Source organism: Homo sapiens, chromosome 1 (assembly GCF_000001405.40).
Source record: "Homo sapiens chromosome 1, GRCh38.p14 Primary Assembly".
Lineage (NCBI taxonomy): Eukaryota > Metazoa > Chordata > Mammalia > Primates > Hominidae > Homo > Homo sapiens.
Genome location: NC_000001.11, coordinates 31,218,748 through 31,244,455, shown reverse-complemented (window position 1 = coordinate 31,244,455; position 25,708 = coordinate 31,218,748). Strand labels below are relative to the sequence as shown.

Below are 25,708 nucleotides of genomic sequence, written 5' to 3'. Positions count from 1 at the left end.
AAAGATGTTTCTATCTGTTCCTACAGTTAGGCTGTCTTCCTCCGTAGAACCCTGACTTCCAGGTGGTAAAGAGGGCACAAGATATGCTGGGCACTGAAGCAGGAACGACAGGAGTGCTGGGTGTGCAATCATTCATTTGCTACACATTTGCTGATTCCTGCCCTGATCCTAGCCCTGTAGGATGTAGAGATAATTTATGACGTAGTTGCTTAAGAGTGGAAGTATGAGAGGGCATCCTGTGTGCGTGAATTCGTCAGGGCAGCACTTGCGGGAATGAGCCAGGGGCAGAGGTTAATTCTACTGAGGTCAGACAGGCCATCCCCACTCCCACAGGACAGACTTATGAGTGAGTCAGCCAGGCCTTGGAATAGAGGTTACAGGCATGACCAGATATAGTCAAGAGCCGGCAGGGGTGGTCAGAGCCCCAGTGGGAATCCACTGTTACTATAGGAATTAAATGAGATAATGCATGTAGAAGCTTGGCTCAGAGTAAACACTCAATAAATGGTAGCTATTATTGTCTTTTTGTTATTGAGTTGCATTGTTAGCCTCACAGAGGTAACTGGCAGAGATTATATCTGGAAGAGGCCCAGCAGAGGATCTGGTAGAGAACGTTACATCTGGGCTGAGCCTTTGTGGAGGTGGTTCTATTCTTTTGTGGGAAATGGACTCTTTGGAGAACCTGACGAAAGCTGTGCCTCTCCCCAGAAAAAGGCACAGCTGCTCACATGATGCTTTGCATATTATTTCAGGGACTTCACAGACTCCTGGAAGCCTGTCTAGTCACGGAACCTGGTTGGACACAGCTGTTATTTGCCAAGCATGGCTGAGAAAATTTCCTGCTGTTCTGCCAGGCACTGTGGCTCACACCTATAATCCCAGCACTTTTGGAGGCCGAGGCAGGTGGATCGCTTGAGCCCAGGAGTTTGAGACCAGCCTGGGCAACATGGCAAAACTCTGTCTCTACACAAAACACAAAAATTAGCCAGGCATGGTGGTACACGCCTGTAGTCCCAGCTACTCGTGAGGCTGAGGTGGGAAGATCAAATGAGCCTCGGAGGTCAAGGCTGCACTGAATTGTGATCTCTCCATTGCACTCCAGCCTGGGCGACAGAGCGAGACCCTGTCTCAAAAAAAGAAAAAGAAAAGAAAAGTTCCCACTATTAGCTTATTGACCCAAGTGAAAACTTCAGCACACATAGGATATTCAACGGTGGGGATATTCTGTGTCTTTTAAAATACAAAGTGGTATCCTGCAGAATGGGTGGAAGAGGGAGACCTGTGAAGAGACCCATCTTTTTTTTTTTTTTTTGAGGCGGAGTTTTGCTCTTGTCACCCAGGCTGGAATGCAGTGGCACGATCTTGGCTCAGTGCAACCTCCGCCTCCCGTGTTCAAGTGATTTCTCCTGCCTCAGCCTCCTGAGTAGCTGGGACTACAGGCGCCTGCCACCACATCAAGCTAATTTTTTGTATTTTTAGTAGAGACAGGGTTTCATCATGTTGGCCAGCCTGGTCTCAAACTCCGATCTCAGGTGATACACCCGACTCAGCCTCCCAAAGTGCAGGGATTACAGGTGTGAGCCACCACGCCCGGCCAAAGAGACCCACCTTAAAGTCCAGGGAGAAGACACAATTGGCTTCATGGGCATGTGACCTCTGCAGTCACACAGGACCCTGCATGTTTTGTTTTCTGTTCTTTGTTTTTTTGAGACACCGTTTCACTCTGTCACCCAGGCTGGAGTGCAGTGGCACAATCTCAGCTCACTGCAACCTCCATCTCCTGGGTTCAAGCAATTCTCATGCCTCAACCTCCCAAGTAGCTGGGATTGCAGGCACATGCCACCACGCCCAGCTAATTTTTGTATTTTTTTAATTTTTATTTTTTGAGATGGAGTCTCACTCTGTCACTAGGCTGGAGTACAGTGGCGTGACCTTGGATCACTGCAATCTCCGTCTCCTGGGTTCAAGCGATTCCCCTGCCCCAACCTCCCTAGTAGCTGGGATTACAGGCATGCACCACCACGCCTGGATAATTTTTTGTATTTTAGTAGAGATGGGGTTTCACCATGTTGGACAGGATGGTCTCGATCTCCTGATTATCTGCCCGCCTTGGCCTCCCAAAGTGCTGGGATTACAGGTATAAGCCACCACGCCTGGCCTAATTATTGTATTTTTAGTAGAGATGGGGTTTTGCCATGTTGGCTAGGTTGATCTTGAACTCCTGACCTTAAGTGATCCGCCTGCCTTGGCCTCCCAGAGTCCTGGGATTATAGCGTAAGCCACAGCGCCCGGCCCCCTGCATGTTCTTGACTTCACGCTCTGCTGTGTTGCCATCTTGAAATTCTTAATTTTTTTTTTTTTTTTAGATGGAGTTTTGCTCTTGTTGCCCCAGGCTGGAGTGCAGTGGGGTGATCTCAGCTCACCACAACCTCTGCCTCCTGGGTTCAAGCAATTCTCCCACTTCAGCCTCCTGAGTAGCTGCGAATTACAGGCATGTGCCACCACACCTATCTAATTATTTTTTGTATTTTTAGTAGAGACAGGGTTTTTCCATGTTGGTCAGGCTGGTCTCGAACGCCTGACCTTGTCATCTGGCCAGGCCTCCCAAGTGCTGGGATTATAGGCATGAGCCACTGCGTCTGGCCGAAATTCTTAATTTTTTAACAAGAAGTGCTGCATCTTCATTTTGTGCTGGGCCCCCCAAACTATGTAGCCAGTCCTGGAAGAAAACAGTGACACATTTATTTGCATGCTTACTATGTGAGCAGCAAACAAGTGACAGTGCTGGAACCGGGACCCAGGCCGTTTGGGTCCAAAACCACGGGTCCTAACCTACATCTTACCATACTTCCTGTCTCTCGAATCAAGAGGGCTAGTGAGAGTGGAGAGGAAGGGAAAGAATAAGAACCTTCTGTTTCTTCCACCAGAACACTCTTCACTCCCCTGCCTCTCCTTCCTTCCTATTGTCGTCTCAGTATCAGTTTCGTTTCCTCAAAGAGGTGTTTCCTGGTCCCCAAACCTAAATTATGCCCCTCTCATTCTCTCTTTTCTCCCTTAGTATTTTATTTATTATTTATTTATTTTGACAGAGTTTCGCTTTTGTCGCCTAGGCTAAAGTGCAATAGCATGGTCTTGGCTCACTGCAACCTCCACCTCCCGGGTTCAAGCGATTCTCCTGCCTCAACCTCCTGAGTAGCTGGGATTACAGGTGCCTGATACCATCCCTGCCTAATTTTTGTATTTTTAGTAGAGATGGGGTTTCACCACGTTGGCCAGGCTGGTCTCGAACTCCTGAACTCAGGTGATCCACTCACTTTTGGGAGGCCGATCTCCACTCAGGTGGAGGTTGCAGTGAGCTGATTCAGCCTCCCAAAGTGCTGAAATTACAGGTGTGAGCCACCGTGCCACGTTTCTTCTTTAATATTCTTTAGAGTATTCATCAGAACTTTGCGTATTTATTTGTATATTTCCTTGTTTTAATGACAATCCCTCACTAGACTGTGTGCTCAATGAGGGCAGAGATTTTGTCGGGTTTTGTTCCCTTATCCCCAGCAGAGAACCTGGCACATAGTGGGTATTTCATAAATGTTAGTTGGAAAGTACAGTTTATAGAATGTAGTGACAGATCAGATGTAATTGTAGGGAAGCCTGGAGGATGACCTAGGAAATTCCACTTGGGTGATGCTAATTGCCAAGGTGAATATAGGAAGTTAGGAGTGGGACAGGAATGATTATGTGGATTTGAGATGTGTCCAGTTCGAGGGCTTTTGGGGGTGGCTTGGAGAAGGCAATCTTCTGCTGGGAAACTTCTGACTCTGTCCCTACTGCAGCCCAGGGTAGGGGCTCCCTACCTCCACCTGGGCAGATCTCTGCCATCACCCATCTCACTGGCGTGCTCTTGGGAGCCTATCTGTTCCCTGGGCGGTGCAGCTCTACGGGATTTGGAACAGTGTTGCAGGTCTCATCTCTGGCTCGCAGGGCCCCCAGGGGTGTGTATGCAGTCAGGGCTCAATAAATGCCAGTAGACGGAAAGAAGGAAGGCGAAAAATGTGGCCAGACACTCAGGGGAGAGGCTGGGGTGAGGAGCAGATCTGGGAACGTAAATAGAACTAGAAGTCCAAGTTGGAACCCTGGAGCCCTAGAGACAGGGTGGACAAAAAAGTGTTCCAAGCCAGGAGGCCAGGCACAGGGCTAAGCGCTTTATTCACATGACTGCATTTCATCTTCATATCTACACTAAAGAGGCATAATTATTCCTACTTTGTTCATGAGAAAACAGGTCCAGAGAGGTGACGTGATTTGCCCAAGGTCACACAGCGAGTGAGCAGCAAAGTCTGGATTTGACTCAGGGCTGTTGTCCCCTAAGCCCGCACGCACTCTTCCACTTCACTCCCTGCCTCTCCAACCCTCCACCTCCCTATCCCTCTCCCCTCCCCTCCGGCGGCTCCCCCGCCCCACCCCTCTGCCGTTCCCCCCAACTCCCTCCCTGTCGGTGGCGGCGGCGGAGCCACGTGGTGGGGCCGGGAAGCCGCGGCCGACGAGAGCCCGGGCGACTGCCCCAGCTGGGCAGTGCTGCTCTGCGCTGCGCCGCGCTCGGGGCTCGCTCTCCTTGCTCCGCGCTCCCCGCCAGCCGCCCCGGGGCAGGAGGCGCGCCTGACGGACGGCCCGCTAGACAAAGGAGGCGCGGCTCGGCGGGGCCAGCGCGCGGACGGACGGACCATGGACTCGGAGCGCGGGCGGCCGGCCCCAGCCTTGGGGACCGGACACTCCCGGGCCCGGCCCTAGGCGCCCGGCCCCGCCGCCCGGCGCGCCCAGCGGGGAGGACGTGGAGCCCGCGCGGCGCGAGCAGGCGGCGGCCGCGGAGCAAGAAGGGCGCCGCGGCGTGCGGCCCGCGCAGCCCCCGGAGCCATGGGCAAGTGCAGCGGGCGCTGCACGCTGGTCGCCTTCTGCTGCCTGCAGCTGGTAAGCGTCGCGTGCCCAGGCAGTCGGGGCAGGGTGGGGCGCGGCGGGGCGCGGTCCCAGGGCGTGCGGGTGGGGTTGCGTGTGTCTCTGTGTGTGTGTCTGGTGCGTGTGCCCGGGCGGGGGGTGGTCTGGAGTCTCGGAGCGGTCGGGCGGAGCCTGCTCCCGCTGGCCGGGCTGTCTCTTTGTGTGCGCTTCTCGCTGCTGTGCCCGGCGCTCCTCCGGTCCCCAAGTGCGTCCTGTGCGCGAGTCCCCGGCCCGCCCGCACTGTACAAGTGGCCTCCTGTTGGGGGATGCGCTGTGGGACGGTGGCTTGCTGGGACTGGGGGTGTGTCTGAGGCTGATCTGTGGATCCGTTGAGGTCCTGCTGTGTGTTTCCCTCTAGATCCCTCGTTTGCATGGGTCTCTCCCTTCCTCTGGGTCTCTGCCTCTGATCACCACCCCTGTGTGAGCGTTTCTCACAAAGTCTCTGCTCCGGCGTGTGTCTCTCAGGGTTTCTCTTTGGTGTGTCTCTAAATCGCTGACCATTTCTGGCCCATGTTCATCTGTGTTCTGGGATCTTAGACTCCAAGAACCCTCCAATCCTTTGTGTTGTTTCTGCCTCCCTTCACCTTCCTGACCGGGCAGTCCTGGGAAAGGAGAGCCACCTCCCTGGAGAGGGTCACCAGGAGCTGCCAGATCCTGGGCCAGCCTGACCCAGCCTGGACCACACTTCCTGCTTTGGTCTGGCCGCTGTGGCCATGGGGGTTCCATCAGTCATCAGTTCCACCCACCAGAGCAGCTCCTCTGCCGGGGCCAGCAACAGTGGGGATGGGGACACTTGGGTGCCCTAGGGAGGACCAGAGCATCTGAGGACACTGTGCCTAGCCCCAGCATAGGGAACTCAGGTTCTTGTCTCAGGGAGGAGTGACTGTAGTGGACTAGAAGAAACAGCACTGCCCTTCAAATCAGGCCCTGGCAGGGGAATTTGGGAGGGTGGTTAAGGAGAGGCAGGGGTCTCCTACCTACCCTAGAGCTGAGATTGAACAACTAGGGAGGTTGAAGCTGTGCTTCTCCTCTAGGCAGAGGTGCATGGGGACCTCCATCGCCGAACCCAGGTCTGAGAGTGGGCAGCGAGGAGCCTGAGCCCCCCTCATGCTGGACTCCTTGTTCTGGGTTTCCACTCTTGCCTGCATCCATCACGCCCTCCCCACCACAGGAGCCAATGATAATGTAGAGTGAAGTTTTGAGCCTGGACATGCAGACCTCCTCATTCGTCTTGCTTCTCTCCTCCTGGGGACACCAGCTTCAAACATGCCATCCACAGACCTGGCCTGGGCAGTGGTGGAAACAGCCCTAGCTCTGGAGATTGTAGCCCTGCTCCCAGCTGTGGGAGACTGGACAAGTGACTTCCCCCCACTGGCCGGCCTCAGTCTTCTTATCTGTAAAATGATTATCCCTGAGGATTGCAGAGGGAATTAATTAAGATCAGGTGGAATGGGAACTCCAGAAGGGCAGAGATTGTCTGTTTTTCTTTATCTACTTTGAGGAACATGAAATGCCAAGAAATGTTTAAACCTTTCAGAGGATTCTTCTGTGTTTGTTAATTTTTTAATTTTAAACTAGGGGTTTTTTTTAATTAGAAAAGTAATATACATATATTGTAAAAAATAAATACATACATAATCAAACAGGACAGATAAATAAAAAGTAAGTTTTCTAGGCCAGGCATCGTGGCTTATGCCTGTAACCCCAGCACTTTGGGAGGGCGAGATGGGCAGATCACCTGAGGTCAGGGGTTCGAGACCAGCCTGGCCAACATGAAGAAACCCCATCACTGCTGAAAATACAAAAATTAGGGGTGGTGGCACGCATCTGTAATCCCAGCTACTCGAGAGGCTGAGACATGAGAATCACTTGAACCCAGGAGGCGGAGGTTACAGTGAGATGAGATCACGCCGCTGCACTCCAGCCTGGACGACAGAGTGAAACTGTGTCTCAAAAAAAAAAAAAAAGTTTTCTTCTCTCTATAACTAGACCCCTCCCCAAAGGTGAACCTGTTAGCAGTTTGTCCCATGCTCATTCTCTGTTGGCGATAATAACGGTTAGCTTTGGAGAGCCCTTGACTAAGTGTCAGGTACTCTTGGAAGCACTTTTCCAGGTATTAACTCATTTAATCCTAACAGCCCTATGAAGTAACTTGTCCAGAATTCTACAGGAACTAGGACCCAGGCTTTGTTTTGGGGGTTTTGTTTTTGTTTTTGTTTGAGACATGGGCTCACTCTGTCATCCAGGACAGAGTGCAGTGGTGCAATCATAGCTCACTACAGCCTTGACCTCCCAGGCTCAAACAATCCTCCCACCTCAGCCTCCTGAGTACCTGGGACTACGGGGGCACACCACCATGCCTAGCTAATTTTTTTGTGTTTTAGAGGTGGGTCTCACTCTTGTTGCCCAGGCTGGTCTCAAACTCCTGTGGTCAAGCCATCCTCCCACTTCAGCCTCCCAAGTGCTGGGATTATAGGCATGAGCCACCACATCCAGCCAGGATCCAGGCTTTGAATCCAGGCAGTTGGCCAGGTCCTCTGTTGCCTTCTTAATTATAAAATAAGTAGTTCTGGCCCTGGTAAGTCTGGGGCCCCATGGAAGGAGCTCATGGCTCTAGAGAGAAATGAAGGTGGTAGAGTGTCTCTCTGCCTCCCACTTCCCTTCCTCCATAGTTCTCCCTTGCTAAGCTAACCCCACTCTTCCACTTAGAGGAGCTCACCAGCACTAGAGGCTTGAGTTAGATGAGACCTGGGTGGCATTCTGGTTTCTCCCACATCCCGGCTGGGTGGCTTTGGGCAGCTTGTGAAGGTTGCACAAGATCATTTGCGGGAGGAACTTGAAAATTGCTCTCTTGGCTCTGTTGCACTATCTGGGCTCATTGCAGAGTGGGCCCTCCAGTTGTCACTAACCTCCATGAGCCCCTACTGCCTGATAGCTTCCATAATGTGCCCCGGGATGTTGGAATTCACCAGCCTGAGGGGAGAAGGGAGTCTTGGTTTTCTCATCCAAGGGACTGAAGGGAAAAAAGAGGCTGTTAAATATCTTTCAGCTGAAAACTTAGGAGGAACTGTGTCATTTTTCTTTCTCAAATGGAGTTTAATCGTTACAATGAATCAGGCCAATTCGAAACATTCTTCCTCAGTTGGGATAGATGTGATTTGGGTGAGGGAGTGAGGTGTGAGGGTGCCATGGGGTTTAAGGGAAGCAGGTAGGGACTGTGCCTTTCAGATGGATAAGTGTAGGATAGTAGTTAAGGCTCTGAAGTTTGACAGGACAGACCTGGCTTTTAGACCTGGTTCTGTCACTTCCTGGCTATGCAATTTTGGGCAAGTTGCTTACCGTCTCTGAGCCACATAGTTTTGTCATCTGTTAAATAGAGAGAATATAAAACAGTTCCTAATCCTTAGGGTTGTTGTGAGGACTCAGTCCATATAATGAATTTAGCACTCTGGCAGGTACAGAGTGAGTACTCATTAAACTGTAGCTTATTGTTATTATCTTAATGATTCATATCATGGGATGTGTCTGTGGCACTGTAGCCCAAACATATCCAGGTGACCCCCTGCACTGTCCTTTGTGGACTGTCCTTTGTGGGAAGTAGCAGGTAGTTGGGCACTGAGCTGAGAGGCAAAAGACCTGGATTTAAGCCTGGCTCTGCTTCTGACATCCTGCAATTTGGGGCAAGTCTCTTCCACACTCTAGGCTTTGGTTTTTCCATCTGTAAAATGGGAGGCATTATTGGTCTGGCTCGCTGGGATCCTGCCAGCTGTACTTGTCAGGAACTCAGGGTGGTGCCTGGACTGGCATGTTTTGTTTATTTATTGTTTATTTTTTAGAGATAGGCGTCTCACTGTGTTGCCCAGGCTGGAGTGCAGTGGCAATCATAACCCACTGCAGCCTCAAATTCCTGAGCTCAAGTGACCTTCCCACCTCAGCCTCTCAAATAGCTGCAGCCTCAAATCCCTGAGCTCAAGTGATCCTCCTACCTCGGCCTCTCAAATAGCTGGGACAACAGGTGCATGTCACCACACCTGGCTTTGGCATGGCAGTTTTGTTGCATCTTGATCCGGTTCCTTTCTGTAGAACATCTTGGGTCCCTTGCTTTCCAGAATTCTTTTTGGTGTATCATTTTGACAACATTATTAACATATTCACCCTCTAATTTTTAATCCCGTGCCTTTTCTCTCTCCTTTCCAAACCCAGCTCTTCCTTGTTCACCTCCTTCCTGAAACCTTACAGGCCACTCTGTTCTTCCTGGAAGGGGATGAACCAGTGAGATTTGCCCTAGGGAATCCCCATCAATTTCTTCATCATCATCATTATCATTCCCATTTCAGGAGTCCTGTGCTAAGCACTTTATATGCATTACCTCATTTAACCAAATGAGCATACATATGTAAAGTGCTTGGCAAAGTGCCTGGTGCATGTTAAATGATCAATAAACGTTAGCTCTTTTACTGCTTTCATCCTTCTTATTGCAATTCCACACAGTGGGGTAGATGTGTTTATTATCCCCTTTTTCAGGTGAGGAAATTGAGGTGCGAAGGGGTGTGACGTTTGCCCAAGCTCGCTAAGCTAGTCAGTGACAGAACCAAGATGCGAGGACTCTTCTGTCTGAACAGAGAGCCACCCTCTCAGCCCCGTGCTACTCTACTGCTCGCGTTTAACCAGTGCTTGACCCCAGACAGGTCCAAGCCTGCGTTTCCTCATCTGAAAATGAAGATGATCATATTTCGATAGCCTCATGTGTAGTGCCTGCACTGTGAGCCAGTGAGTGCCCAATAATAGATCACTGCCATGGTTGTTTCTGTCCCAGCTCTGTGTGACCTTGGACACACGCATTCACTCCTCTGGCCACAGTTTCTTCCTTTGTAAAAGAGGAAGAGTCATCTCTAGCCCACAGAGTTGTAGAAAGGGCTTCCTTGGCCAGGTGCCAGACACATAGTAGGTATTCAGAAAAATGTTGGTTTCATTCTTTTCCCTTCTAGAAAGCTCTTTGCTTTCTGGAAGGTGGGGGCGGGGGGCGGGATGTAGCTTCCAGCTGAGCTGCGAGTAATGGTGTGAAACATGGTCAACCTGATTGATGTCGTTATTAGCAATAGTGACGGCGAAGACCAAAGGGAGATGGGCTCCAGCAGGGGCCTGCACTCTGGAGCAGCTGCAGCTGCAAGCTCACGGCTTCCTCGGGAGGGTCTGGTTCTGCTTCGGGTGCTTGAGGTCCTTGGGCCGGGTATCAGAGTCAGGAGCGTGAAATTATGCAGGCCACTGGCCCCTTTTGTTCCTCATACCCCTTTGGACAGAGTTGGCAGGGATGATCAACTCCCTTTTGTGAATGAACAGACTGAAGCCAAACTGCCCTCGAGGCCCTTATGAGATGGGCGGAGCAGGGTAGAATGGAGAAGAAGGCCTCCAGGGGACCTGGGGATGGCCCTGGTTCTCCTCCTTTATAAGGGTAGGTGAGTGGATGGTTTTTAAATAAGCAGCCCATAAATGGCAGCTTCGCTGAGATCTGGCACAGGGGCTAGGAGCACTACATCTGGGATCAGGCCTTGCTTTGTGACTCCCAGGAAGTCCTGCACCCTCTCTGAGCCTCTGCCTTCTTACTTACAAAGTAGTCAGAAAAACAGCTTCTACCCCACGAACGAGCCCATGGCAGTTTGGGGAATTCGCAAGTTGATGCCGGGATAGCCAAGTACGGTCCCTGGCCTAGGAAAGTGCTCTCCAGGGCTAGCTATGATTTGCCTTGAGACTTGGACAAGTCACGTCAGCCCCATCTCTGCCTGTATTAGAGGATTTCGTGATCAGGGTCATTCCCACAAACACTCCAGCTCTTCTTTATGTGGAAAATATGGGGCTGAGTGGGAAATTAACATAATGAGAATTTCTTTTTGTTTGGTGTCTGCTATGAGCCAGGCATTGTACTAGGCATTTTATATATGTCTCTTGCTACTGTGTGGCTTATCCATGGCCACATAAATGATAGGTGCAGAATGAGTATTCAAACTCAGATCTGGGACTCCACAGCTTCTCCCTGCATGCCCCATTGCCCCCTGCTAGTATTGTGGGACGCTGGAGTGGAAGCAGGTGGAGAAATCCAAACCTTTCCTCAGCCACAGGGCTTGTTACCAGATGCCAGATCTAACTGCTTACACAGATGCCCCCTCTCCCCATTCTACCCACCCCCAAGCTCTGTGCTGGACTTAAAAGAGCTGTGATGCACGGCTGGGTGCGGTAGCTCACACCTGTAATCCCAGCACTTTGGGAGGCCGAGGCATGCAGATCACTTGAGATCAGGAGTTCGAAACCAGCCTGGCCAATGTGGTGAAACCGCATCTCTACTAAAAATACAAAAAATTAGCCGAGCGTGGTGGTGGGCACCTGTAATTTCAGCTACTCGGGAGGCTGAGGCAAGAGAATCATTTGAACCTGGGAGGCGGAGGTTGCAGTGTGCCAAGGAGCTGTGATACAGATTGAGAAAACCAGGGAATAAAGTAACCTGTATCTACAAGTGATCCATCCTCATAACAACTCTATGAGATAGGTGTGGTTTTTATACCCATTAACTGATGGACATACTGAGGCTCAGAAGGGTAAAATGACATCTCTCCAAGGAAACAGGAGATAATAGTCTGAGCCTCAGAGTAGTCATCAAGGGGAAAGGGTTTGAGAACAATTGTTATAAAATCTGGACCAAGCAGAGATAGTCAGCTCTGATCACTGGAACATGTTGTCTCCTCTAGTCAGTCCTTTTATTTTTTATTTTGTATTTTTTTATTCTATGTGGTAGGAGACTCCCAAACTACTCTTCTCTAGTATTAAGGAGAGATGGGTGACAGGAAGGCAGACTAAGGCTACAGGTGTATTTTTAAAAACTAGTTCCAGGCCAGGTGCGGTGGCTCACACCTGTAATCCCAGCATTTTGGGAAGGCAAGGTGGAAGGATCGCTTGAGCCCAGGAGTTTGAGACCAGCCTGGGGAACATAGTGAGACCTCCCCCACTCTCTCTCTCTCTCTCTCTCTCTCTCTCTCTCTCTCTCTCTCTCTCTATATATATATATATATATATATATATATGAAGTAGGCCAGACACGGTGGCTCATGCCTGTAATCCCAACACTCTGGGAGGCTGAGACAGGTGGATCACCTGAGGTCAGGAGTTCGAGACCAGCCTGACCAACATGGTGAAACCCTGTCTCTACTAAAAATACAAAATTAGCCAGGCATGGTAGCTCATGCCTGTAATCCCAGCTACTCGGGAGGCTGAGGCAGGAGAATTGCTTGAACCTGGGAGGCAGATGTTGTGGTAAGCCAAGATCACGCCATTGCACTCCAGCCTGGGTAACAAGAGCGAAACTCCGTCTCAAAAAAAGAAAAACAAAAAGGTAAAAACTTAGCTGGGCATGGTAGCATGCACCTGTAGTCCCAGCTACTGAGGCAGAGGGGAGGATTGCTTTTGCCCAGGAGCTTGAGGCTGCAGTGAGCCATGATTGCACCACTGCCCTACAGCCTGGGCAACACAGTGAGATCCTGTCTCAAAAAAAATTAAAAAAAAAAAAAAAGCTAGTTCCAGCCAGGCACAGAGAGACAAACTTCAGATGTTCTTACTTATTTGTGTGAGCTAAAAATTAAAACAATTGAACTCGCCAGGTGCAGTGGCTCACGCTTGTAATCCCGGCACTTTGGGAGGCCAAGGCGGGCGGATCACAAGGTCAGGAGATCGAGACCATCCTGGCTAACACTGTGAAACCCTGTCTCTACTAAAAATACAAAAAATTAGCCGGGCGTGGTGGCGGGCGCCTGTAGTTCCAGCTACTCGGGAGGCTGAGGCAGGACAGTGGCATGAACCCAGGAGGCGGAGCTTGCAGTGAGCTGAGATGGCGCCACTGCACTCCAGCCTGGGTGACAGAGCGAGACTCCGTCTCAAAAACAACAACAACAACAACAACAAACAACAACAAAAACAATTGAACTCATGGAGATAGTGCGTAGAATGAGGAGGTTGGGCACTGTGGGTCACGCCTGTAATCCCAGCACTTTGGGAGGCCAAGGTGGGTGGACTGCTTGAGCTCAGGAGTTGGAGACCAGCCTGGGTAACATGGCAAGACCCTGCATCTATTAAAAAAAAAAAAAAAAAAAGTAGAATAAGGATTACCAGAGGCTGGGAAAGGTAGTCGGGGAGTGGGGAGGTTGTATAAAAACATGGTTAGATAGGATGAATAAATCTTGTCTTTGATAGCACAACAGTGTGACTACAGTCAACGAAATTTACTGTACATTTAAAAATAACTGGATGGTGCAGTGGCTTACACCTGTAATCCCAGCACTCTGGGAGGCCGAGGCGGGTGGATCACTTGAGGTCAGGAGTTTGAGACCAGCCTGGCCAACGTGGTGAAACCCCATTTGTACTAAAAATACAAAAAATTAGCTGGGCATGGTGGCGGGCACCTGTAATCCCAGCTACTCAGGAGGCTAAGACAGGAGAATCACTTGAACCTGGGAGGCGGAGGTTGCAGTGAGCCAAGATCGTGCCACTACACTCCGGCCTGGGCAACAAGAGCAAAACTCCGTCTCAAAAAAAAAAAAAAAAAAAAATAACCCAAAGAGTATGATTGGATTATTTGTAACACAAAGAAAGGATAAATGCTTGATTTACCCTGATGTGACGATTGCACAGTGGATGCCTATATCAAAATATCTCATGTGCCCCCTAAATATATATACCTACTATGTAACCCACAAAAATTAAAAATTAAAAACATTTTTTAAATTGAACACTAGATCCAGGCCATGGGGGGAGAGCTGGGTTTAGGCCCAGGAAGCCAAGTCCCAGTGCTTTGCCTGGCTTTCCCTGCCCTGGCCTGGAGAGGGATGTCGATTGATTCACAGATGAGGGAGAGCTTCAGAGAGCAAAGCAAACTTCCCCTAGAGGCACTGAATGAGCAGTAAGGTTTTAGAAGAGCCGTTAAGTGTGGTTGCAGGTTTTCCTGATTTACATTGGCCTCCTGGCCCCTCTCAAAGCAGCTGACAAATCCAGAGACAAGGAGGTGGACTGGGAACTGGGAAGAACCCGGGCTTTGGGGTCAGGCTGGGATTTGAGTTCCAGCTTTGCCTCTTTGTAGCTGGATGACCTTGAGCAAGAAGACACCTAACCTCTCTGAGCTTCCACTTGCACTTCTCTAAATCAGGATAATGATCATCTACTTCAGAGAGTTGTTGGGAGGCTCCTTTGAAATAAAACGTGTGGAGTGGGAGCTCACAAAGGGGGTACACTCTTGAATGCCCAGGATATGAGGCTGCAGGTTCTGCAATCCGAGTACTGTGGGGTAGGAAATGAGATGACTCCCCTTTCTCAATGAATGGAAGGCTCAAGCTGGAGCAGCAGTTCTTCTTCATCTGTGTGGTCTTGGCATTGCTGGACCGTGGTCTTCTCTTCTGTAAAATGGGAATAATAATAGCACCCACCTCATAGGACTATAATGAGGGCAACCTGAGATAATGCAGGGAGAGCCGTGGGCACAGGCTGCCACTCACTAAGAGGGGTTCCAAGATGAAGGCGTGGCCTCTTTGGGCCTCTCTCTTGCTCTGTATGGGGAAAAGGTTGGACTCATCATCTCAAAGGACCCTTCCAGCTCTGAGTCAGTAATGAGCTCCTTCTCTTCCCAGGTGGAGGTAAGAGGTGCTGCCTGGCCCACCTTGTTGCAGGCAGTGGTGACTGATGGAGTGTCAGGGCCTGGGGTCAGGAGGAGACTTCTGCCTCTGATGGCTTGCTCAAGACTTTACACCTGGGTGTCAGGTTGTCAGGGACTCTGGTGACCTCATCTTTCTCCTGTCTGTCTGTCTGTCTGTCTGGTGAGCTGAGATCACGCCATTGCACTCCAGCCTGGGTAACAAGAGCGAAACTCCGTCTCAAAAAAAGAAAAAAAAATGTAAAAGATTAGCTGGGCATGGTAGCATGCACCTGTCGTCCCAGCTACTGAAGCGGAGGGGAGGATTGCTTTTGCCCCAGAAGTTGAGGCTGCAGTGAGCCATGATTGTACCACTGCACTACAGCCTGGGCAACATAGGCTGCACTGCTCCCACCCCAGATGCCCATGTAGCATATTTTGATTGTAAGATGAAGTCTCAAACTACAGAGATTCAGAGCTGGGAGGCTTGTGGCCCATCACTCACCTCCAGCTCACCATAGGTGAGCTTCCTGAACTACAGAAAGACTAATACTCTTGGGTCAGAGAGTGAGAATTGCCTCTAGCTAACTCTACCTGGAGTTGAATCCAGCAAATATTTATCAAGCACACACAAACTGCCATGCATGATTCTAGGTGCTGAGTCACCTTAGTGTATGAAACATGCCCTCAGCTGCAAGACAGAATGCCTGGGTTCTAGTACTCACTGCTGTGCAACTTTGAGTTGGGCCTGGCCTTCTCTGGGCCTCATTTATCACAGCCTATGAAGTGGGAAATGAGAGGAGAGTACTGAACTCTGTTAGCAGCTTTCAGACCCTCCAGAGGCTCTGCAGGGGTGGGGGCTGATAACCAGGTGGTGAGTTTCCTGTCCTAGGCAGTGGGATTTATGTGTGGCCAGGCCTGGTGGCTCATACCTATAATCCCAGCACTTTGGGAGGCTGAGGCCGAAGGATGACTTGAGGCCCGGAGTTCAAGACCAGCCTGGGCAACACAGTAAGATCCCATCTCTAAAAAAAATTTTTTTTAATTAGCTGGCCATGGTGGTGCCAGCCTGTGGTCCTAGCTACTGAGGTGGCTGTGGTAGGATGATCACTTGAGCCCAGGAGGTCAAGTGTGCAGTGAGCCGAGATCATGCCGCTGTACTCCAGCCTCAAACAATGAAAAAAAGCAAGAAAGAATTTATGTGTAGGTCGGATGACTGCTTGGACATGTAGTGGATCTAGTGATGACCCAGATCCCTTGGAACCACTCAATGCTGGTTCTAGGTCCTGAGAGGACAGTGCTAACAGCACACAATGATATCTATAATTATGAACATTTCTGTGAGCTCACCATGTCCCCTCTCCTTAGCATACTTCTTCCCACCCCATACCTCAAATCACAGGGCCTGGTGAGCTCATGGTACAGGCAGTAGGGGAAATGGAAATCTCTAGGCATTTTATCCCTTTGCCTGCTCTGGCCACCCCTTGCCCTAGAAGGACAAAAATTCTGAGATTTTCAGGATAAGGATTGGTTCCTAAGCCTGTTTTTTGGGAGGAGGTGGGCATGTTCCACAGCCCCAGCCTGAACCAGAGATGTGGGTTTTCAATTACACAATTAAATGCACAATTAGGCATAATTACCAGTGCTCAGAGCCCGAGACTGCTCATAATAGGCGTGTAATCTACTGCAGCCTCTGTTTATACTACTCAGCGCGCTCCCTAATGATGCCAGGATGCCTTCACACTGCACTGTTGCCATGGAGACAAGCCCGCCACCACCATGCAAAGCTGACAAATGGTGTTCTGGTCTTGGGCCTTTGGATTGTTTCTGAGGCTTCTAACAGCCAGCACTGGAGTGGAGGGGCTGGCCAGGGGGACAGGAAGGTGGGGCAACCCTCCCTGGACTCTGACACACCCCACTGGTTCAGGCCAGCGTTGGAGCCACCAGGGAGGACAGGGGAGAGGAGCATCAGCCACCTCTCACCCCTAGAGTCCTCAAGCCATGAGCAGGATGGCCCGGGGCCATGAAAGGTCTTGTGGTTATCCATTCATACATCTCACGCTATCATGGAATCAAAGGTCTGGACAGGGGGTCCTGCCTACACCAGGTTCAAAGATAGGCCTGGCTCTGCTGTGAACTGGCTCTGTGACCTTGGTTGGGCAAGTCCTTGGCCCTCTTGGGGGCTGTGCTTCCCCGTATATAAAATGGACTGCAGGGTCTCTGCACATGGCATAGTCTAATAGAGAAGATTTACTGAGCACTTATGACCCACCTCATTCTGCTGTAACTGCTTTACCTGGAGTGGCTCATTCATCCTCATGGCACCCTGTGGGGTGGGCACAGCTACTACCTCTATTTCACCGAAGCAGAATCTGAGGCTGAGAGCAGTCACATCCAGCAGTGGCAGAGCTGCGCAAACCCAGGTCTTGCCCTTAACCCCAATGCCACATAGCTTCACATGTGCCACCTGAGGTCATCCTCACAACAGCCCTAGAGGTGGAACTTTGTCACACCCATTTCCGTTTCCTAGATGAGGACTCTGAGGCTCAGAGAACTGAAGTCACTTGGCCAAAGTCACGCAACGAGGCAGCGGCAGAGCACAGTCTGGCTGGTGCCAACAGCCAGGGTTCCTACCTTTGGCTTCTTAGTGGAACTCATAAAGGGGTAAAAAGATTTCCTTTGGCTGGGCACAGTGGTTCACACCTGTAATCCTAGCACTTTGGGAGGCCAGGGCAGGCAGATCACTTGAGGCCAGGAGTTTGAGAACAGCCTGGCCAACATGGTGAAATCCCGTCTCTACTAAAAATACAAAAATTAGCTGGGTGTGGTGGCGTGCACCTGTAATCCCAGCTATTCAGGAGTCTGAGGCACCAGAATCACCTTGAACCCGAGAGGCAGAGGTTGCAGTGAGACGAGATTGCAACACTGCACTCCAGCCCGGGCAACAGAGCAAGACTGTATCTCCAGAAAAAATGATTTTCTGGCCGGGTGCGGTGGCTCACGCCTGTAATCCCAGCACTTTGGGAGACGGAGGCGGGCAGATTACCTGAGGTTGGGAGTTCGAGAACAGCCTGGCTAACATGGTGAAACCCCGTCTCTACTAAATATACAAAATTAGCTGGGTGTGGTGGTGCACGCCTGTAATCCCAGCTACTCCAGAGGCCGAGGCAGGAGAATTGCTTGAACCCGGGAGGCGGAGGTTGCAGTAAACCGGGATTGTGCCACTGCACTCCAACAACCTGGGTGACAGTGAGACTCCGTCTCAAAAAAAAAAAAAAAAAAGATTTTCTTCAACAAGCACATACCATGGAGCCCCGATATCCCCATCTGGCCTGGCCCCAGCCACCGAGGAGTCAAGGAGTCCCAGGGTCCCTTAGACCCAGCACTTCACTTTGATCTTGAAGGAAATTTTGGTCTAGCTCTTCCTCTATCAGCTCACCCCCACCTTGGTCACTAGAAGTGGGGCTTGTTTTTACAGGATTTTTTTTTTTTTGCTGCATTTCTCTGTAATTCAGCACATTATTTATGGATACCTACTATGTGCCAGCCCCTGGGGACACAGATGGATCACATAGTGGGTTCAAATCCTGGCGCTTAACGCGGGATGCTGGGCAAGTTGCTTGACGTCTCTATACCTTGGTTTCTTCATCTGTAATGAAGGCGACAGCCTGTTCCTTGCAGGGTTGTTGGCAATGTTAGCAATAACAACTACCACTTATCAAGCACTATGTGCCAGGCAGTCAGCTAAACCTTTTATATTCCCTGGGTGAAGCTTCATAACATAATCTGTCATTCCCATTTAACAGATGAAGCAACTTAAGGCTCAAGAAGCATAAGTTGAGTGAGGTAAGTGGCAGAGCAGGCACCTGAGTCCAGAGCCCTTGCTCCTCCCCACCCAGTGTCCCACCAGCATGGAGGTGGCAGTCACCGAAATGTGAGTTTCTCCCACCTCTTCCCTACAGCCTCCAGCCAGCTTCTCCTGGAGGAATGAGGCATTTGAATGGAGGGGTAATCTGAGGGAGACAGTGCCCACCTGAGAGGGGCATAGCCCAAGACTCTATCTGGCTGCATGAGTCCCCCCGGACATCTTAAATTCTAGTTTTCTGAGAGGGGGGCTCTCACACATCACCTCCACCCTCACACAATGTAGCTGGGAAAACTGAAGTCCAGAAATGGACTGTGAGGCGTGGTGGCTCATACCTGTAATCTCAACATTTTGGGAGGCCATGGTGGGTGGATCACTTGAGGCCAGGAGTTCAAGACCAGCCTGGCCAAGAGTGCAAACCCTGTCTCTACTAAAAATACAAAAATTAGCCAGGCATGTCGGTGGGTGCCTGTAGTCCATTCAGCTGGGTGAGGCATGAGAATTGCTTAACCCAGGAGGCAGAGGTTGCAGTGAGCCGAGATTGTGGCACTGCACTCCAGCCTGGGCAACAGAGTAAGACTCTGTCTTTAAAAAAAAAAAAAAAAAAAAAAAAAAGGCCGGGCATGGTGGCTTATGCCTGTGATCCCAGCACTTTGGGAGGCTGAGGCGGGCAGATCATGAGATCAGGAGATCAAGACCATCCTGCCCAACATGGTGAAACCCCATCTCTACTAAAAATACAGAAATTAGCCAGGTGTGGTGGCGGGTGCCTGTAGTCCCAGCTACTTGGGAGGCTGAGGCAGGAGAATTGCTTGAACCCAAGAGGTGGAGCTTGCAGTGAGCCGAGATTGTGCCACTGCACTCCAGCCTGGCAATGAAGTGAGAGTCCGTCTCAAAAAAAAAAAAAGAAAAGAAAAGAAAAAGAAATGGGCTGTGGCTTGCCCAAGACCACAGTCTAAGTCAAGGGTATTTGATCCACAAATCTCCATGTGCAGTGTCCGCTGGCTTTGGGTCCCACTCTCAACTCTACCCTTGTTAGGTGGGCACTGCCCCCCTCAGGTTGCCCCTCCATCCAAATGCCTCATCCTCCAAGAAAAGCTGGCCACCCTCCAAGAGAGGAGGCACTAGGGAAGAGGCGGGAGGAACCCACATTTGGTTGACTGTCACCTCCGTGCTGGTGGGACACCGGGTGGGGAAGAGCAAGGGCTCTGGATCCAGGTGCCTTCTCTGCCACTCACTGGCTCTGAGGCCCCGGGCAGGGCACTTACGCTTCATGATCCTCAAGTTGCTTCATCTATTAGGAAACTTCTTGTTAACTTCCTTTTATTCCCCACCAGTCTGTTGGAGAGGGACATTTGGGGGCTGTGGTATGTTTCTGTGTTTGTATGTACAGCTAGCTGGTCCCCAGCTTACAGCTCACAGTGGTTCAACATGGTTTTTTGACTTACGATGGGTTTATTGGGGTGTGGAATGCATTTTCGATTTAGGATGGCTTGATTGGGATGTGGCCCCGTCGTAAATCAAGGAGCATCTGTATTCGAAACTGCACACTGCTGCATGCCCCAGCATTTGTGGGGCGGACACTGGCACGTAGAGATTTGTGGATCAATAAACATCCCTTCCCGCTTCCTCCCTGTTCATTTATTCATGAACTCTGAACTCCTTGGCTCCAGAGAAACTGCCTGGAAGAAAGCAATTAGAGCATAATTAGAACCACTCCTATCATCGGCTCTCAGAGGGAGGGAAGGGGGCTGCTGGGGCATGGGGGGATGTCCCCAACCTCTGCAGCTGCCCATTCAGCTCCTACTCACCCCATGGAGCTCAGCCTCCCCAGAGTCCTGGACACTGGAAACCGCTTTACAGGGAGATGCCTCATCCCTGGAGGCATTCAAGCAATTGATAAGGCTAGGGAGGAGAGCTGTCTGTCTTGCATACTGAGTTAGAGTAGATGATCTCCAAGTCCCTTCCTTGCTGAGCTTCTTGGGTGCTCCCTGCCAGGGACTGGAACAGGCATTGCAGGAAAACTAAAAAGTATAACATAGCTCCTGCTTTCTAGAAAACATTCGTTCAGCAGATTGTAGTGAATGAAGACTACAAGGACAATAGGAAATGCAGATTACCTGGAGGAAGCAATTTACCAGGCAGGGTTCCATTCATTGCCAGGTGATTAATGGTAATAATAACAGTACCAGCAGTCGGCTGGGCGTGGTGGCTCACGCCTGTAATCCCAGCACTTTGGGAGGCCGAGGCAGGCGAATCACGAGGTCAGGAGATCGGGACCATCCTGGCTAACACGGTGAAACCCCGTCTCTACTAAAAATACAAAACATTAGCTGGGTGTGGTGGCAGGGGCCTGTAGTCCCAGCTACTTGGAAGGCTGAGGCAGGAGAATGGCGTGAACCCAGGAGGTGGAGCTTGCAGTAAGCGGAGATCGCGCCACTGCACTCCATCCAGCCTGGGCGACAGAGCGAGACTCCGTCTCAAAAACAAAACAAAACAAAACAAACAGTACCAGCAGTCAATGTTTATGGAGTATTTCTTTCTTTCTTTTTTTTTTTTTTTTTTGAGATGGAGTCTTGCTCTGTCTCCCAGGCTGGAGTGCAGTGGAGCAATCTCAGTTCATGGCAACCTCCGCCTCCCAGGTTCAAGCAATTCTCCTGCCTCAGCCTCCCGAGCATTTGGGATTACAAGCACCTGCCACCATGCCCAGCTAATTTTTGTATTTTAGTAGAGACAGGGTTTTGCCATGTTGGCCAGGCTGGTCTCAAACTCCTGACCTCGGGTGATCCACCCACCTCAGCCTCCCAAAGTGCTGGGATTACAGGCGTGAGCCGCCGCGCCTGGCCGTTTATGGAGCATTTCTGATCCCAGAGCCGCTGCTTTTCCCCAGCAAGTGTCCCAGCATCAAGGAGTAGCCGCCTGAGAGCAGGTGTTCCTCCCTCCCTGAAGAAAAGAGGACAAGACGCAGGGAGGTGCCAGGCACTGTGCATCTCACTTCAGATGCATTTCCTCAGTTGGTCCTGCAGTAACCCTAAGAGGTAGACACTATTATATGGATACTATCTCCCATGTACAGATGAGGAAACTGAAGCTCAGGGAGTGACAGAGCCTGCCCAACATCACACAGTATTTGTTCAGGACTCTAACCCAGGCCTTTTGGACTCCAAACTCCTTGAACTTTGCACTTCACCAGGTTTGAGGGTGCAGTTTGCTCTCTCTTCCTTTCCCCTCTCCTGAGCTTCAGTTTGGGCCTCAGTTGTTCTGAGCTTCCTTGTTGGGGAGCCTTGAAAAGCTGTTTAATGTGCTCCTCTGCATCCGTCTCCTGGTTGAAGAGGATGCATTGAGTCCTCCTGTTCCTCTTCCTCTCACCCTGCACCAGCTGAAGAAAGAATGGGAGAGCCCCACCACTGGTGACGGGTCACCACCCCCAGATGGGTCCATACCCTGCCTTGGCAAAGGAAAGTGAAGGCCTGGCAGATGACAGTCTCTGGCCTCTTGACCCTCTGTAGGACTGTGCCCCCTTTATCTGAGTGACAGGTGGTCACCCTGGCAACAGGCCCTTTGCCCAGCAGGGGTCCCTGACTTCCCAGTAGCCACTTCCCTTTCACGTGTGAAGATACACACATGTTCTGCAGCCACAGCAGCTCTGTCCAGCTGGAGGGAGTCTCCATGTCAGGCCAGCTTTCAGATGTGGGTTTTTACCAGCCCCTCACCAGACTGCCCTGGACCCAGCCTGCGCAAGCAATCTTAATAAAATGCAGTTCTGCTGGGCACAGTGGCTCACGCCTGTAATCCCAACACTGAGAGGCCGAGGCGGGTGGATTCCCTGAGGTCAGGAGTTCAACACTAGCCTGGCCAATATGGCGAAACCCTGTCTCTACTAAAAATACAAAAATTAGCCAGGTGTGGTGGTGGGCGCCTGTAATTCCAGCTCCTCAGGAGGCTGAGGCAGGAGGATTGCTTGAACCCGGGAAGTGGAGGTTGCAGTGAGCCAAGATCGCACCACTGCACTCCAGCCTGGGTGACAGAGTGAGACTCTGTCTCAAAAAAATAAAATAAAATAAAATGCAGTTCTGATACTGCCTCGCCTCTGTTTAAACCCTACCCCTGGCCCCTCATTGCCTTCAGGATAAAGTCTAAAGCTGTGTTTCTCAAACTTTAGCATGCATCAAAAGCACTTGGAGGTTTGTTGAAATATGGATTTCCAGGTCAGGTGCAGTGGCTCATGCCTGTAATCCCAGCACTTTGGGAGGCCGAGGTGGGCAGATCATGAGGTCAAGAGATCGAGACCATCTTGGCCAACATGGTGAAACCCCGGCTCTACTAAAAATACAAAAATTAGCTGGGCTTGGTGGCGCGTGCCTGTAGTCCCAGCTACTCGGGAGGCTGAGGCAGGAGAATCGCTTGAACCCGGGAGGCGGATGTTGCAGTGAGCCGAGACCGCACCACTGCACTCCAGCCTGGCGACAGAGCAAGACTCCGTCTCAAAAAATATATATATATGGATTTCCAGGCTTCACCCCCAGAGTTTCTGATTTAGGAGGTCTGGGATGGGGGCCAAGAATGTGCATCTCTAACAAGTTCCAAAGTGATGCTGATGCTGCTAGTCCAGGGACCACACAATGAGAATTATTCGTCTAGACCAGAGAGACACTGAAAGCCTGCCCAGGCTTGCCTGCTAACCGAAACTTACCACTTCCGTGTCCCTAAACTCAGGTTGCATGGACCTAAACACCCTGGGTTGTTTCACACCTCAGAGCCTTTGCCATTTGCTGTGCCTGCCTCTCTGGAAGCTCTTTCCTTCTTTATCTCCTAGGCCTGCTAATCCATCATTTCATCCTCGGAGCATCTCTGTACTCCCGCATGCTCACCACACTGACTTCTTCCTCTGGGCCCTGACAACTTGTCCCCTGCCTCCATCACAGCAGGTACTATGCTGTTGTAATTCTGCTCTATTTCCACATCAAATCCCTCTCCCTGGACTGGGAGCTCCTTGAGGCCTGGAAGTGTCCACTGAGTGTGGACATGGAGTGTGGCCCTCAGAAGGAACTCAGTGAATGTGTGATGCTTGAATGAACCCCAAGAGCAGATGGAAGGCCCAGGTGAATAATCACAAATCACAAAGTTTCATAGTTTATCCAGCCAGTCAAATATTCACTGGATGCTTTTTTTTTTTTTTTTTTTTTGGAGATGGAGTCTTACTCTGTCGCCAGGCTGGAGTGCAGTGGCACTATCTTGGCTCACCGCAACCTCCACCTCCCAGGTTCAAGTGATTCTCCTGCCTCAGCCTCCCAAGCAGCTGGGATTATAGGTGCATGCCACCACACCTGGCTAATTTTTATATTTTTAGTAGAGACAGGGTTTCGCCATGTTGGCCAGGCTGGTCTCAAACTCCTGATCTCAGGTAGTCCACTGGCCTCGGCTTCCCAAAGTGCCAGGATTATAGGCGTGAGCCACCGTGCCCGGCCACTGGGTGCTTATTCTGTGCTAGGTAGGTGCTGGGGATACGGTAGTATGGGAGGCAATGTCCCTGCCCATGTGGACTCAGATGCTATCAGTGATCATGTTGGGACACAGATGGTGAGCATTATACAGGAAAAGAAGATCGTAAAAGATCTGAATGTTGCCAGGTGTGGTGGCTCACGCCTGTAATCCCAGCACTTTGGGAGGCCAAGGTGGGCAGATCACCTGAGGTCAGGAGTTCGAGACCAGCCTGACCAACATGGAGAAACCCCGTCTGTACTAAAAAAAAAAAAAAAAAAAAAATTAGCTGGGCGTGGTGGCACATGCCTGTAATCCCAGCTGCTCAGGTGGCTGAGGCATGAGAATTGCTTGAACCCGGGAGGCAGAGGTTGCAGTGAGCCGAGATCACGCCATTGCACTCCAGCCTGGGCAACAAGAGCAAAACTCCATCTCAAAAAAAAAAAAAAAAAAAAATCTGAGTGTTCTGAAGCAGGTTTAGCAGCAGTGGCCAGGGTGGAGTTGAATAGCCTGTGCAAGCAAGGCACAAACATTTCACAGACCTTACTGCACTCATTTGCTCCTTCATACAACTCTGCTAGGCAGAAACTGTCATCCCTGTTTTACAGATGGGCAAGTGGGAACCAACAGGGGAATTTGCTGGGCCACAATCACAGCCAGCACATGGCAGAGCTAGGACTTGAACCTGGATTTCCTGATCCCAAGCTCTCCAAACCCTTGGGCTACTCCTGGAGTCTAGGCACCTGTGTGGCCTGAGACCTTCCTTTGGGAATGTGTCTCCAGTGATGATTTACGAGTTTGCTCACAACAGACACCACAGCCCCGCTACAGGGGACCTGGGCGGTACCGGAAGCATTAGGGGGCCTTCTGTGGCCCTCCTCTGGCCATGCCCCTTTCCCCAGGGCGGGCAGTCCACAGGATCAGGGGGACATGCTCACTGGAAACCTATGCCTACGCTCCCACCCTAGACTCCACCCCAGATACTCAGGACCCCAGATTCCCCCATCCAGTCAGCCCCAAGCCCACTGTCAGGGCGTGCCGGGGCTTCTCCAGAGGACAGCCTGCGCTGCCAGTGTGTGTATGTCCACCCATAGACAGCGCCAGCTGCTTGGAAGGAGGGGCAGGTGTGGACATAGCTTACACATGTGTCCTAGGATCCAGACCTGCGTATGAGACCCCAGCCAGAAATGGGACTGATAGCTGGGGCTGGCTTTCCCATATGCTGAAAGATGCTACTACCTTCTGGCTCAAAACTCCAAGAAGTCAGAGGAATTGAAATTCACAGCCTGGCCTACCAGACCATTAAGTCTATTAGAAGACAGAACATATATTTAGGAGGTTGTTAGTTTGGTTTGTAACTTAGATATTTAGGCATGTGAGGGGTAGACCCGCATTGGTGCTCCTGCCCTGGTCCACAAGGCCCCCAAATGTTAGAGAAGGGTCTGGACTTGAGGGCAGAATGCAGGCCAGGGCTCCCCTGGGTGTCTGATCAGCCTCGGGTGATGCCAGCTGCTCAGCCTGTCACTGCCTGTCTGCTGGTCAGCAGCCCCACGAGTCATCTGAGCGCACTGCCGTCCCCAGGCTGCCGCTAGCTGTCATCCTCAAGACAGGCCACCAGAGACAGGGATCATCCACTGAACTGAGAGGCTGTCTGGGGCCCAGCCTGGGAATCACACTGTGGTTGTCGACTATGACAGGCTGGGCTGGTTGGT

General features: G+C 50.9%; 1 protein-coding gene across 1 annotated transcript in view, besides 1 other annotated feature; it reads left to right on the top strand.

Moving 5' to 3' along the window:
- The first annotated feature begins 4,568 nt into the window (after positions 1–4,568).
- NKAIN1 (sodium/potassium transporting ATPase interacting 1) overlaps positions 4,569–25,708 on the top strand; it is a 60,143-nt gene continuing 39,003 nt past the window's right edge. The window contains exon 1 of the mRNA NM_024522.3: positions 4,569–4,962. Within this exon, the coding sequence (NP_078798.2) occupies positions 4,909–4,962 (54 nt within the window). The 5' untranslated portion in view covers positions 4,569–4,908. The remainder of the gene's footprint in view (positions 4,963–25,708) is intronic.
- Positions 21,702–22,202: an enhancer, noted in NCBI's record as "H3K4me1 hESC enhancer chr1:31695101-31695601 (GRCh37/hg19 assembly coordinates)". NCBI's record gives its function as "activates a minimal SCP1, AML or CMV promoter by ChIP-STARR-seq in primed H9 embryonic stem cells {active_cell/tissue: H9 hESC(primed)}" and the evidence as "EXISTENCE:reporter gene assay evidence [ECO:0000049][PMID:30033119]".